The 15,404-nt window shown below is 44.8% G+C and overlaps 1 protein-coding gene and 1 pseudogene across 6 annotated transcripts in view, besides 1 other annotated feature; both read right to left on the minus strand.

The window, feature by feature from the left end:
- Window positions 1-6,133, minus strand: part of CCBE1 (collagen and calcium binding EGF domains 1) — a 266,783-nt gene extending 260,650 nt beyond the window's left edge. For 2 of the 6 annotated variants that reach the window (XM_024451091.2, XM_017025557.2), the window contains exons 1-3: window positions 5,989-6,133; window positions 5,624-5,881; window positions 5,041-5,121 (exon numbers count right to left, since the gene is read on the minus strand). In XM_024451091.2, the coding sequence (XP_024306859.1) occupies window positions 5,041-5,121; window positions 5,624-5,754 (212 nt within the window). In that variant the 5' untranslated portion in view covers window positions 5,755-5,881; window positions 5,989-6,133. Of the gene's footprint in view, window positions 1-5,040; window positions 5,122-5,623; window positions 5,917-5,988 lie in introns of those variants that run through there. The other 4 variants (XM_047437302.1, XM_047437301.1, NM_133459.4 and 1 more) reach the window with 2 other exon arrangements.
- ACTBP3 (ACTB pseudogene 3) lies at window positions 1,458-1,885 on the minus strand (annotated as a pseudogene).
- Window positions 15,001-15,184: a silencer, noted in NCBI's record as "fragment chr18:57373821-57374004 (GRCh37/hg19 assembly coordinates)". NCBI's record gives its function as "represses an EF-1alpha promoter that drives an FKBP-Casp9 reporter gene in an ReSE screen in HepG2 liver carcinoma cells {active_cell/tissue: HepG2}" and the evidence as "EXISTENCE:reporter gene assay evidence [ECO:0000049][PMID:32094911]".

The following is a 15,404-nucleotide window of genomic DNA, read 5'->3' on the forward strand; positions in this document are numbered from 1 at the left end:
AGAGACGGGGTTTCACCATGTTGGCCAGGCTGGTCTCAAACTCCTGACCTCGTGATCTGCCTGCCTTGGCCTCCCAAAGTGCTGGGATTACAGGCGTGAGCCACCGCGCCCAGCTAGAGTTCTTCACAACTTTCATTTTGTTTCCTCCCTGAACTACATGCCCTGAATGAGCCAAGTCTTCACAGAGCTGCCCTCAGTACCCGGCCTCAGCTATGCCAGCCACAGGACAGGGAAACAAGCAGAGGAGAGAGAAATCAGAATGGGCCTGGGGCTAAGGATCTGATTTCTAGTCTTCCTTCTGCCAGTAAGACCCTTCATAATCCTGGGGAAGGGATGAAAGTGGTGTAACTTCAAGTTCTAGTTCAGGCTATGCCTTCCACTGGCTCTTATGGTCATGAGTAGAGTAGCTTGTTAGTCAGGGAGGTAGCAGGAAACAAAGATACTCTAATTTCCCCAGGGCACTAGGTTTCTGGGCTCTCCTACATTTGAAAATAGCATCTGCAAACGAGTGATGTTTCTGGCTGTGGTCTCAAATTGCTCTTTCAAAAAGATGAAGTTCATACGACTCACAAAATTCAACAAACATCCATTGAGCATCTAAAACATTCAACATGCAGACTTGGCAAGATGTAGTGATGACGATGGGAGGTATTACTAACATAGCACTTCCTATGTGTCGTGAATTTTTCAAAGCATTTTACATGTATTAAGGCACAATCCTCACAGCAGCCCTATAGTTTAAGTACCAATTGGATGCTCATTTTACAGATGAGAAAATTAAAGCACAGATATTAAAACTGCTCAAGGTCACAAAACCACCAAGTAGTAGAGCTGGGATTCACACTGGAGCAAAGAGTTTATATTATTTTATATGTGTTTTGACATTATCGAAGCCCACTCCCCCGCCATGGGAACTTGGTGACTTGCCAGAGAAGTGCATTATACAGTCTTTCCTCAAATGTGTCCTTACCTAGAGCCCAATGCTATCAATCTGGTAGTACTATTCTAATTAAAAGGACCTTGCTCTTCAAAGCACTCCAAGTAAACACATTTGCAAAAACATCACATTAATTTTCACATTCTCACAAGACTTGGCAACACAGTTGTATTATCTCAAAGAAAAGTGGGTGTTTTACATCCCCCATGTCACTATTTCCCATGGGAACATTGAGCTGCCCTAAGCAAGAACACTGCCTCATGAGACAGCACGGGCTGGACAGATGAATACCGGCAGGGCAGAGAGGCACCTGGGGCATCCCTACCACTTAGCCTCCACGTGGAGTTCCATGAACCCCAAAGCCAAAATCACAGCGAGTTTTTAAAAAGCATTTAACACACAGTTAAAAGAACCACTTTGTCAAGCCAAAGCACACACACACACACACACACACACACACACACACACACACACACACAAACAAAAAACGCAAAGCCAAACCTATCTCATCTTGTTTTCTGTGGTGAAGGTGATGGCAGTCAGTTGGAGCGAGCATACCCTAAAGCTCTACAATGTGGCCAAGGACTTTGACTGTACATTGTTCTTTTTTTTAAATAATCATTCCAAATATTGCGAGATGCATTGTTGCAGGAAGTCCCTTGCCCTCCTAAATGCCACCCTACTTCTAAGAAGAATGGCTCAGTCCTCTCTGGAGTCCACACAGGGGAGGTGATAGCATTAGCATTGCTTTCATGTAAATTATGTAATGCAAAATTTTTTAAATCTTCTCCTTAAAACTTTGTTTCATTTGTGACCAGCTTTCATGGTCCCCCTTTTTTGTCCCCCAACTTGAGATGTGTGAAGGCTTTTGGTCTCCCTGAGAGTGGGTGGAGGCAGCCAGGGCTTAACTGTACACCAACTTGAGACCAGTTGACAAAAAGTGAACACTTTAAAAAAGGGGGAAAAAAAGAACCACTTTGAAGAACATGGTTAAATCTTCTTTTGCCCAAAAGCCATTTCTAGCTGCTTGTCTCTCTTCCCCATCACTAATACAGCATATGAACTACATGACTTTGAACTCAATCATACACCATTGCTTATTGCTCACAGTTTCAAAGTCCTGGATATAAAATCAAGTCTGCAAACTGAGACCAGAGATTGTATTTTATCGTTTTATACTCAAACATTTTCTAGGACTTTTCTGAGCTCGTAATAGATGCACAATAGATTCTTAATTAAGAAGTCAAGGGTTGATTAGGATGTTTATTCCACAGCCTCAGTGAAAATTGTTTTATTAGTGTTTCCTACACACGAGAATATTTCTTGTTAAAGGAAAGCCTTTTTTTTTTTTTTTTTTTTTTTTTTGAGACAGAGTCTTGCTCTGTCACCAGACTGGAATGCAGTGGCGAGATCTCAGCTCACTGCAACCTCCGCCTCCTGGTTTCAAACTATTCTCCTGCCTCAGCCTCCCAAGTAGATGGTACTACAGGTGTGTGCCACCACACCATGCTAATTTTTGTATTTTTAGTAGAGACGGGGTTTTATCATGTTGGCCAGAATGGTCTCGATCTCTTGACCTCATGACCCACCCACCTCCGCCTCCCAAAGTGCTGGGATTACAGGCATGAGCCACCGCACCCGGCCTAGTAACTTTTTTAAAGTCATTTTTAAACACACTTCAAGTTCAGAAGTGGCTTCCAGAGTTCCTTCACTTGTGCTGAAAACCATTCACCAACAGCCACCTGGTAAAGAGAATTCTATACAGTCAAAGAACATTCCATCATCAGTAATGCTGTATTACTTACAGCTCAATTCAAAGTAACCTTTAAAGACTGGCTTCCTGGAATGCTGGTTCTTTATCTCACTTTAGTTTAACCTTTAGTTTAGTGAGGTAGGAGAGCTAACTGTTTGGTCAACTGAAAGGCCTCCATGCTCCTTTAAGGATCTGTCTAAATAGGTCTGCATGCGTCCTGGGGATGAGGACACTGGTTTCTTACAGCAGTGCTTCAAGATTTTATGCATCTCTCATTAAGACAGATTCTGATTTAAGAGATCTGGGGGCAGAGGCCCAGGATTCCAACAAGCTCCCAAAATCATGCTGTGCGGCTGGTTTCCAGATGATACTTGAGGTAGTGAGGGTATAAAGGGCTAGGACAATCAAGTCACAAACTAAGGAAAATAATATCCTCTATTCTTGGGATTCAAGAAGAGTAGATTATAGAAACAGGATAAGACCAACGGAATACAGAGAACTCTCGACTTCCATAGAGAAAATAGATCTAAAAACAAAATCTAAGATCTTTTCATATACACAAGGATCAACACCACTTTCAAGCTGAAAGCATCGTTTCCCATTCCTTTAAACAAAGTTCTTTATTCTCCTTGATATAAAATGTCATTTTTGCGAGATCTCATAGCAATTTGAGTAGCTATTAGTGAAAACACATGCCAAGGTGCTGCTAGTGTCTCCTGTTCAAAGAGTATAAAAGAAACACCACACTGCTTTAAGAAGTCTGGAAAAGATGACAGTAATGGCATTAACAAACAATCAGGCACCAAATGGTTTCTGAAAATCTAACATGCATTCTGTAACTGTCACTGATTTATGTGAAGTCCGACCTTCAGGGACTGAAAAAATGAGCAAACCATCTCAGAGACATTTCCCATGTTAAATTCGAGGCTTTATACTGTGCTGATAGGAAAACAATGTGTCCTAAGAAACACTGTGGTCGTGTGGATGAAAGACACGGCTGGAACCAGGCAAGCAATCCTGCTGCCAGCACCACCAGGTCACTTCACCAGCTCGGTGACCTTGCTCACCCAGTTAGCCTCTTTAAGTCTTAACCTGCCAATTGAACATACTCCTTTCTCCTCTACTACCTCTCTCATTTTGTTCAGCATTCACCCCCCGCACACGCCAAGAGAAAGGAGCCTTTCCTAAGCCCAAGGAGTGACTTGATTTGCCTGATTATTGTCCCTTCACTGCCAACAACAGATTTAAGAGCAGAAGTACGCGATGTAACTGATGGTGCTTTTGCACCCATAAACTGACAGCCGTGGAACCACTTGGTCTGAACCTTTGGGTATATGAAATGCTCTCACCTGCAAGAAACGCTATGATTGATTCACAGGCTACAACCTTATAAGGAATAAAACATTGTTTTCTTTCAAGTTCGTTTCTAGGGACTGCTGCGTTACCTTGTACTACTCAGTATTTATCCTGGCAACCCGAACAGAGCATGTGAGTCTCCAGAGACAGTCAGGTGTGGGCATATGATCACATTACCTTGTACAGCGCCTCTAAAACGCAGATATCCAATAAACGTTTATGGGTGCATGTTCCCCTATCCAGTGAGAGCACTGGAACAGAACCAAGAATTCAATGGTGAAAAACCTAAATCAACCCTCATCTCCAAAAGGCTGCAAGCAGAACAGTGGTTCTCTCCTTTCAGAGACAAGAACCACCTGGGGAACATTTTATAACTACCGATTCCCTAGCCCCATCCACGCTTAGTTTTAACAAGCACCCGGGTCACTCATTTAACAAATACCCAGGTGAATCTGTGGCCCACATTTTTAGAAAGACTTTTTTCCTCTGCCCCAACAATCTTTTTGTTTTCACTCAACACAACCACTCACAATCCTCCCCCTACTTTTTTGTCCAGAGGCCGTGACAGCCACACTCTGCCCCAACAGAAGGTCAGAAGACAGACAAGTGCCAAGAATTGCCTTGTTGACGCTGTACTTTCAAAACAAAACACAAATACGAAAGCAGCCACCCGTGTTTGCTATGCCCCACTGTTTACACCCAAAATCCAATCCAATCTCCTTCACAGACTTCCACACAAGTATTTCAGGGAGCGGCAACCATCCTCAGGATCTCAGGGCACACACCCTAGACGCAAAGTCAGTTGCTCAGTGTTGCTCTGACTCCGATCCAACCAACCCTCAAAGATTCGCACCGCGCGGCACGCACCCAGCAGGTTCCAGCGTAAAAGCTGCTCCGGTCCCAAGCGCGTCTCCAAACCCCTCCTTTACAGCGCCGCCTCCCCAGCCAGCCCCGGTGCGCAGTGGCGAACAGCCCGCAGAGCCCCCAGGCTTACCTGTAGCATGTGGTGAGCTCGCCTGAAGACTTCAGACACGGGTATTTAGTCGTCGCGATTTTGCTCTCTGAGCAGATTTCTCTATGAAAAAGTGCAGAGGAAATGTTCGATTCTCAGCGGGAGAGCGGAGGCGGGCAGCGCGCGCTGGGGAATCCCTGGCGCGTGGGGATCGCCAGGCTCCCCGTCCCGGCGCTCTGGGCAGGGGCTGGTCCCCAAACGCGTACGCGGGGCAGACTCCGGCCACAGGGACGAGCCACGCGAGGGTCACGACGAAGCGAACCAGCTCCAGGAGAAAGGAAGCGGGGTTCACGAGCTGTGCCAGCCAGTGTGGCACCCGGGGGGAGGCAGGAACGCGGGGCGAAGGGTATCCCTGACGCGACCCACGGATGGCAGGGCGCAAAGGCTGATACCCGGGAGCGGAGGGAAGTGTCGCCCAGGACAGCTGAGCACTCTCCTTATCCCCGGAGAAGTGAGGGCGTGCGGATCGCTGTGGGAGTGGGCGCCGGGGAGGACCGCCCGCACCCCGCGAGCCGGGCGCGCATCAAGCAGGAGCTCGCCCTCCGCTGGGGCTTGCAGCGCTTACCTGTCGCCGTCCTCCGGCTCCTCTCTGTAGGTCCACGTGTGTCCCAACGCCAGGAGCAGCAGCAGCGGACCCAGGCTCCTGCCCAGCTGGCCCCTGGCAGCTCCTCCCCGGCTCGGAGGCGGCGGCACCATCAGGGAAGCTCCCGGCTTCTTCCCAGCGCCGAGCTCCGTCCGGACCAAGCGTCCTGCTCCTCCGCGGCCGCCGCCGCCTTCCCTCTTCCCGGCAGGGGGCGCCGGAGAGCAGGGGCGTTTGCACCACCTGCACGGGGAGCAGGGGTCCGGAATATTATGGGGCTGGGGGGAAAATGAGGCTAGGAGTTGGGGTATCGGATGCAAACCCAGCAGAGAAGCAGGTAAAGGGGGTACCTGCGGTGTCCGGCTGGCGCGAGGGCCCTGAGGTTCAAGTTGTCTCGTCGGGACGTTCACGTCCGATTGACAGACTTGCTGGACTCGGCTTGGGGCTGCGCCCTCGCCTCTTCCCTCTCCCTCCTCTGGGAGAAGCGCGCAGGGTGGGGAAAGCGGGCGGTTGTTTGCATTTTGCACCAGGGTCTCACGACCGGGAGGAGGAGGAGCTGATTCTCCACCGGGGAGAAGAGGGAGGGGGAAGAGAGGGGTTAATAAGCTTCCTTCCTGTTGTCCATGGGTTTCTAAAGCCCAGGGTCAGGCCAGTGTTCGTCTTTCCTCCGTGAGGACCTACCCTGAGATTTGCAACTATCTTAGTCTTCTTTTCTCTTAGATTATGTGAGGAAGGAGGAGTTGAAAGGCTACAACGGGCCTCTCAAATTGTTCAAACCTGAAATAGCGCTATTTATATAGTGTAATCACTCTTCCTTAAAACCTTTAGAAGAAAGTTCTCTGGTTGTTTCATTGGTCAATAAACCATGCGCTGTCTTCTTCATAACTCGAGTTCGGAACAAGTAAGGAGGTCTTTCTGGGAGCCTTACATCTCCTTGTCCTGAGCGGCTTTAATACTGTTTCCACGCCGCGCACATCAGAGCTGGAAACGCCCCCCCCCATCAAATGAGACACGTGGGGGCAAATTAATTACAGGTGCTGCTACCTGCTAGTGTATGCAGCCGCGTTGATAGGTAACAAGAAAACGGAGGAGGGGGGCCGTAAATCGGCTCCCTTGACGGTGACCCTAATTGTAATTCGTGTGTCAGCAACTTAACACTTTGTTGCGCTTTAGGAGTTTTCTCAGCCTTTTCCAGAGAAACTGGGGACGTGGATGTGGCCCAGAAATAAGTTGAAAAAGGAAAAGTTCTAATGCCTAAGCTCTAAAATATGCGTGGTTCTGCATCTCACAGGACAACGAGGTAAAAAGGTGGCTTGTTCACAAGTGACCGGTGTGTAAATTGGTTAGGTAAGCACATATTTTGATATACAGAATATGCTGGTCAACTGAGAATTACCACACATATCACATACACATTGACTTTTTTTTTTTTTTGAGACGGAGTCTCACTCTGTCGCCCAGGCTGGAGTGCAGTGTCTCGATCTTGGCTCACTGCAACCTCCGCCTGCCGGGTTCAAGAGATTCTTCTGCCTCAGCACCCCAAGTAGCAGGGATTACAGATGCATGCTTCCACACCCGGCTAATTTTTGTATTTTTAGTAGAGACAGAGTTTCACCATGTTGGCCAGGCTGCTCTTAAACTCCTGGCCTCAAGTGATCTGCCCAACTCGGCCTCCCAAAGTGCTGGGATTACAGGCGTGAGCCATAGCAGCCAGCCCACACTGATATTTTTGATAGCAATGACATTGTCATTCTTCCGTAGAATGCTATGTCTTTTCCTAAGATTTTTCATATTCAAGATTTTATTTGGTTCCCACAATATCCCTTCAATCTGAGCATCTGATTTCTTAGTTCTGTGAGGTGTGTTTTTTGTTGGCTTATTTTACAAAACTTACATATTCGGAAGACCACCCACTTGATATTAAAATATGACACTGCTACTTAACACAAATGAGTTAATTTTTATTTGATAATTCAGAAGACATTTCAGGATGTTGCAAAACTGGAGAGTGATCATCATGAGGTCAGAAAAAAAAAACCATGAGGTCAGAAAAAACTGGATTCAAACTCAGGCTGTTTGGTTTCCTGGAGGAGTGATCTGAAGCAATTTACTTCTGACACTCTGTTTTCTCATCTGTAAAATGGGGAAATATCTCTCATCAATTTTTATGAGTATTAAATGAAGCAATGCTTCTATAGCATTTTGTTTATCATGCCTGGCATATGTTGAGTGCCCTGTAAACATTATTACTTGTAACGTAATTATTGTATTGCACAGAACTTTAAGTTTTTGCCTTCTAGCCTTCTAGCTTTTCACTTCCTAGATATATAGGAATCCACTTTATAACAGTTGTTTGGGTTCCTAAAGACAGACCTCACTAAGCACATGAGGAAGAAACCCCTTCTGGGGCTTATGATAATTGTATCTCTTCAGATTGTGACAAAAAAGTGTTTGATATCCATCTTGGAAGGGAGAGGCCATCTTGTAATCTGGTAGGAGGTTCTATTTTTAATTCCTTACCAATTACTGTATCTTGACAACTTGCTGTCTTTTTTCTCATCTTTACGCATTTTATTCTTCTACTGTTGCATTGTGGACGTTAGTTCTACAAGTAACAGAGCGTGGTATAGGAGATTAATTATCAGTTTCATTAAATAGTTACTAGGCCACAAGTGCAGACCTGCAGCATTTCAGGGAAAGTGATTCAGGCTGCAAAATGATAACAGCAAAACCATTATACACAGCTGTGTGGCAGAAGATTGGCATCAGAGCTGACTTTGCCACCTTTTTATTTTCAGCTCCTGGTGCTGAGTGCCTATGAGAATAAGGGGTTAGAGAAGTTGCTGGGGCCCAGCAAACAGCTCAGGTTTGCACAGGGAGGAAATCCCAACGGTGGGTGGTCAGAGCATTTCATACATTTCTGTAAGAGGTGATCTGGAGCCGAAACCTTCTGAAAAACCTTTGCCTAGAGGCCTGTAATTTCAACCTACTGCCAGCTACTGACAGCATGGGGTGCAGTGAGGAGTTGCTTGTCCGGGGAGCACTGCCAAGCCGGAAAGAGCTATGGATGGCCATATATGGATACCTGCCCCCAAAAAGCTAAATACTCCTGTAAAAGACAAAATCTGCATTGCCCAGGCTGCGGGCTGCATGGGAGATGTCAGTGCTGGGGCTGACTGGTGGGAGCCTCAAGGGTGCTGAGTTTTCTTTCCTCCCTTCTAGACCATGTGCAAGCCCAGGCCTGCCCTGTCCCCTCACCTATGAAACACTGGCCTGAGAGAACATGCCATCCACCTCTTTCATAGGAGTGTTACAAAGATTAATGATAGGGCCCTAAATGCTCCTTGGGGGAGGCCGTGTGTGATTATGTGATTATTTCTTTTCAGCATACCACTCTCTGCAAAGTTTTTCATAAAGATCTGTCAGTTTCCCTGAAACAAACCAGAGAGCAGATAGTTATACAATTTACTGTGTCCTGGGGATGTGGGGCTGTGTCTGGGGCTTTCTAGTGCATACTATGTTATAGGTTAGAATCCCTGGTAGACCAGGTATTGTTAAGTAGTACTGCTGCATGTTGCCTGGGGGTGGGGTGACTGGCTGGAGAATAGAGAGACGGCTGCGTACAAAAGTAAAGTGAAAGGAAAAAAGAAAAGTAAACACCAGGACACAGGGCAGAGAATATGCTTCTAAATAAAATCAGTTGTCTCTTCTCAGTTTTAAGGGACTCCAACATCTTATTTGAAGAAAATCAGAATATAAAGAACAGACCACCACCAACTGGGACAATTCATTTCACCATTTAAAGATTTTCCTATAAAAAGGATTTGTGGTGGCTGACAAAAAATAAACTATTGTGTGTGTGTGTGTGTGTGTGTGTACATATGTACACAAAGTGTATGTAGTATAGGGCAAAATTAGACAAAGAAATTAAGGCAAAGGAAAAATCAGGATCAAACAGTAAAATAAAGCTGATGTTATGTTAATTGGCAGGGCTGTATAAGCAGAAAGTCCTGGGCCACGTTTCAAGCAGATCACAAGTCGGTTCTCAAATTCTCAGAAGTCAACTCAGGATAATTACATGATCAGTCATGAGATTCAAGGTAACCATAAAAGAAAAGCCTATAAATTGCTTGGAAAAAATGACAGTTTGTTCCCCCGGTCTCCCTGAAATATAGCAACAGTCACCTAACTGTAAGGTAAGGTGAAACAAAGCTCAACAAGTGTGGGTAAAGTTCATATTGTACTGTGAGTGATAGGCATACGATAAGATATCCCTAAAACAAAGAATTGCCCTGATACCTTTCCTTCAGTTTCAGTTTTGATTGACGTATATAGGCAGGTCTGCTTAGAGAATTAGGGTTACATCTTGGAAGGTGTGAAAGTGTGCCAGTCTCCAAACCATTGTGGGGGACTGTTTGAGGCAAGAAGAATAAAAAAAAAAGTTTTTAAAACAGTAAATGGATGTTAAAGCCCTGGTTTTTGGGCGTGTATATTACCTTTTCACTAAGCCTGTCTTAGTTTTAACTTGCACAAATTCTGAAAGTTGATTGAAGCTGTTGGTCTCTGGAATTTTCTCCCAAGGCAGGAAGAAATGTCTGATTCCTGTGTCCATGACAGAATCACACCATTTTTGCCCAATTTTGAAATAAAAGCCATTTTCATAGATTAGTTAGCTTTATACTTGGGTAGGCCACTCAAAAATGTACAAATAGAAAAAAGAGAACCTTCTAGCTACATGATTATCTCCAAAAATATCAAGAAAAATTATCCATGTGATTTGGATGTCTTATTTGGTCTGGAAAGTTGTAACACACAGGGGCCCAGTCTAGGTTTTCCCCCAAATCAGTATCTGTTGAGGCAATATGAGTTGGCAGTCTCCTTGACCAATCAAGAGCTATAGGATCAAACCTGGGATTTGGGGTGGAGAAGCGTGTTCTAACACCACTCAATTCTGCAGCTCCCTTTGCAACAAATAGCGATGGCAGGAGCTGCAGCTGCTCTGACCCATCTCTTGTCCCCATGAGCATGAACAAAGGAAGGACAAGGGGCCAGCAGCAGATGTGGGGCCACTGGCTCATGCTGTGAAGTCCCTGTTCTAGAAAATGGATTTGAATCTCCCGAGGACTTATGAGCTGACTCCTTTGAGTGTCTGTCATTCCAATGCTAGCAACATCTCGTTTTATTTTTGAAGAGCAAACCCTGTTTATCTCCCTTAACTCGGCAAGGGTAAGAGTTACTTAATGTTTATTAAGAACTGGGAGATATTCACTCAGTAATATGGTATCAAACCAATTTGACAGGTAATAATGCTGACTTGGAAAGTGTTTTGATTTGAGCCAAGATATCTTTTATGGTGGAATAAAAATAATTCTACTACCCATGCCAGCAGAGGATGCTAATTTAAAACTTTTTTTTTTTCCTCTGGATATGAGGTTGACCTTACTTTCCTCTTTTAAAAACTGGACTTAGAGAAATAGCACTGGGAGTTGGGAAAAAACTAGACTTAAAAGTAAGTTTTACTTTGGTTTGAAATTCAGTTCTACCACCTAATACCACTATGACCCTGAAACATTTGCTTCATCTTCCTGGGACTCAGTTTATCCACAGATAAAACAGAATGACAATATCCATCTCATAGAACTGATGAAAAGAGTAAATAGGATCTATAACAAGCCCATCACATCAGAGGTAATAAATGATACCTAAGATTATTTTAGTTTTTATCTTCAATAATTGGGATGTAGTTATGCTGGACCATCCACCCTGTCTCATCTTATTTGCTTTCCATGAAAGATAACTTTGTGAAATTGATAGCTAAGGATAGGACACCATGTCATAGAACAGCCTAAAATAAATAGCAGAATTGACATTGGTGTCATTAACATTGTGCTTAAATCAGACATTAGGGGGTGACTGAGTCTCTAAATCAAATCACCCAATAATGGTTGCTAGAAAATAGAATGCATATACTTCCTTTAGAGAAGAGCTGTGCTTCTGATTACTGTCTGTCCTACTTTTACCTCATTGTTTAAATGTTTGAGAGGCTACCTAGTTAAAACCCAGCTGTGATCAATTCTATTTTTCATTTATTTATTTTAGAGACAAGATCTGGCTCTGTTACCCAGGCTGGAGTACAGTGGTGCAATCATAGCTCACTACAGCCTCCAACTCCTGAGATCAAGCGATCCTCCCACCTCAGCTTCCCAAAGTGCTAGGATTACACACGTGAACTACGGCGCCTAGCCTGATCAATTCTAGAGAGGCAAAAATAACTCTCTTCAAATCTATCCACTAGTGACATCATGTTCTGTTGAGCTTTTCTTACTGGGTGACATCGGGAAAGTTTGCAACAGTGTAAGGGGCCCCAGCCTAAGGAGTCCACAATCTCCTTGAAGAGCAGCTGTGTTTAAAGGAAACAGCAGTCCATACTGTGTAGAAAAATCTCAGAGTTCAGGTTTTAAAAGTTGTTAGTTTTTTTTTAAGTCGTTAAAGATTCTAATAGAATGTGGAATGCATTTCTTAATGAAAATAGAGGCCTGTGGGCCAGGCACAGTGGCTCACGCCTGTAATCCTAGCACTTTGGGAGGCTGAGGCAGGCAGATTGCCTGAGCTCAGGAGTTCAAGACCAGCCTGGGCAACATGGTGAAACACTGTCTCTAATAAAATATAAAAAATTAGCTGGGCATGGCGGCATGCACCTGTAGTCCCAGCTACTCGGGAGGCTGAGGCAGGAGAATTGCTTGAACCCGGGAGGCAGAGGTTGCAGTGAGCCAAGATCATGCAGATGCATTCCAGCCTGGATGACAGAGTCAAACTCCGTCTCCAAAAAAAAAAAAAAAAGAAAGAAAGAAAATAGAGGCCTGTGGCTCTATTTTCTGAGGCAGTGGGCACAGTTACTCACACCTGTAATCCCAATACTTTGGGAGGATGAGGCAGGAGGATTGCATGAGCCCAGAAGTTCAAGACCAGCCTGAGCAACATAGAATCTGTTTCTACAATAATAATAATATTAGCTGGGTGTGGTAGTGCACACCTGTAGTTCCATCTGTTCAGGAGGCTGAGGTGGGAAGATCGCTTGAGCCTGAGAATCTGAGGCTGCAGTGAGTCATGATCATGCCACTGCACTCCAGCCTGAGCAACAGAACAATTAAGAAAACAAACAACAAAAATAATAGAGGCCTGTTCATGATATAATGCCAAGAAAGCTATATTCCTATAAGCTTTTAATGGATGATGATAATTTTCCAAGAATTTGGAACAACAAATAAAGAATAACAAATATTTATTGACCATTTGGTACATGTAGACATTATTCTAAGCACTATTCAGGTATTATCACATTTAAGCCTTATCAAAATCTTCTGTCACTGATTCTATTATTGTCTGCATTTTAAAGATGTGGAAACTGGTGGGGCGCAGTGGCTCACACCTGTAATCCCAGCACTTTGGGAGGCCGAGGCTGAACAGATCACTTGAGGTCAGGAGTTCGAGACCAGCCTGGCCAAAGTGGTGAAACCCCATCTCTACTAAAAATACAAAAACTAGTTGGGTGTGGTGGGCATGCCTGTAGTCTCAGCTACTTAGGAGGCTGAAACAGGAGAATTGCTTGAACCCGGGAGGCAGAGGTTGCAGTGAGCCAAGATCACACCACTGCACTCCAGCCTGGGCAACAGAGCAAGACTCCATCTCAAGAAAAGGCAAATAAAAATAAAGATATGGAAACTGAGGCAGTGATTTTATTAGATCCCTAAGGTACAGTTATAAGGGCAGTTTCGGCACCAGAGCTCACGCTGTCATCACTACACTAAACTGTCCTTTGGAGAAGTAAGCAGCTAGGTAGTTTTTGCCTAAGAGATAGACTGCATCCAGTATGTTTGCCCAGGGACATAATGCAAACCAGGGAAGGCCCATGGTCCACCACCATAACCAGTAACCCTGACATTGCCTGAGTTAGTGCTCAGGCACAATCTTCTTTCTGCAGTTCTGTTAACCAGCTGGCCCCATAAGTTCCCACCTCTGTATATTAGCCCCAGAGCTCTCTGCAGCAAAGCTGAGCTATATCCATTGGACCTGTCTTCCTAGAGGCAAACAATCACTGATTTACATGGGAATGCTGGCATGAGAAGAATGAGATGAGGTTTCACAACTTGTGGAGTTCTGGCACTTTTGCAAACTGTCCTTCCAGTTCTATCTCCGGCCCAGAAACAGGTTTTTATCAGACCTAGAACTCTCACAAAACTAGGAGATTATGAAGACTACTCACAGAGAGCATTTCTGCAATCACCACAAGGAAATACCTAGGCAAAATGTTTTAAAAACTTCAGAGTACAGCATAGTCCTGTGGAACCTACTTCTAATTGTGAATAGAAAAGGGCAAGCAGTTGCAACCAGGTTTTGCTCCAGATGGTTGGAAGATCTTTGCATTGATCTCTCTGTTCCTCCCCTCACACATCCCAACAACACACAAACACAACTCTTGGAGGTTGTTGACTTGTCTGCAGTGAATGGTTTAAGATCAGCATGGTTTTGCATTCTTTGGTCCTAATCTTTACCAGCAATGCAGGATCCCAAAGGAACGCCAGATAAAATGAGCTGACTTGGTTTAGTTTCACTTAATTGTTTTGCATCCCTTTTTGTTTGTGGTAGATCAGGGTAATTGTTGACCATCTTTCTGCTTGATTAGTGATGTTTAAACCTGAACCTATCTTTCAGTGATGTTTATTTGGTTTGAAACCTCTGATGAGCGTCATGATAATTAGAAAGCGAGTTGAGACTTATCGAAGCTTCTTTCAGTTCCAACATTTATCTGGAGTATTATTATAATAAACCTGGAAGTGATGTGTGTATATGCAATTTGACATGTATCTGGCTCTCACATCTTTACGTCCTGATAGAAGGCTAATGGGCCTAATGGGCCCTGACCCTGTGTGTCAGTTACCTGTCATTAAACCCTCGGATTGACCTGCTTTGAGGTCGATTCCCTCTCAGGCTGGCGTCACTCCCTGGACAGTCGTCCCAGACTTCCTTTCAGGTCTTTTTCTCTACTTTCTGCTTTTTGCTTGTCTTCCTTTCTGTTCCCTCTTCCATCAATCATTTTTGCTGTCACTCCTTCTATGGTGAGACTTTTACCTACCAGCTTTCTCTTTCCTCTGGCTTTATGATCTATTCTCTGCTATTTTCTGTTAGCTACACTGCTCTTCCTTAAAGTGTATCCCTACTCCTTCCCCAATCCTATTTCTTCCTCTGAATCATTGGTTCTCAACTGAGGGGCAATCTTGGTACCCAGTGGAGATTTGGCAATGTCTGGAGAGATTTTTAGTTATGACGACTGGGGGTGGGGGTAGTGACTTTACTTGCTAGCATCCAGTGGGTAGAGGCCTGGAAGCTAATGAACATCCTACAGTGCACAGGGTGGCCCCTCCCCCCACGGTGACACAACAAGGAACTGGCTGGCTCAAGATGTCAATAGAGCCAAGCCTCAGAAGTCCCAGGCTACACAGATGTCTATCCACCTCTCAATGGGAGTGTTTTCTCTCCTGGTTCCAAATCGCAGTTGCTTAATCCTTTCTTTCCCCAGGCCGGGGCTTTAGTGTGTTCCCATTCACTTGTTATTGCTCTTCCTTGCCACCGGATCCTTCTTGACTGAACAGTCCTTACACCTTCACACTTGCCCTGATCTCACCCCTGAGACTTAGTGTAGCAGCTACTTTATCAATCAGCTGCCCTGGAGTGACCTGAGGAGCTACAAAAATAATTTTCTTAGAAT

The sequence above is a fragment of the Homo sapiens genome, chromosome 18 (assembly GCF_000001405.40).
Source record: "Homo sapiens chromosome 18, GRCh38.p14 Primary Assembly".
Classification (NCBI taxonomy): domain Eukaryota; kingdom Metazoa; phylum Chordata; class Mammalia; order Primates; family Hominidae; genus Homo; species Homo sapiens.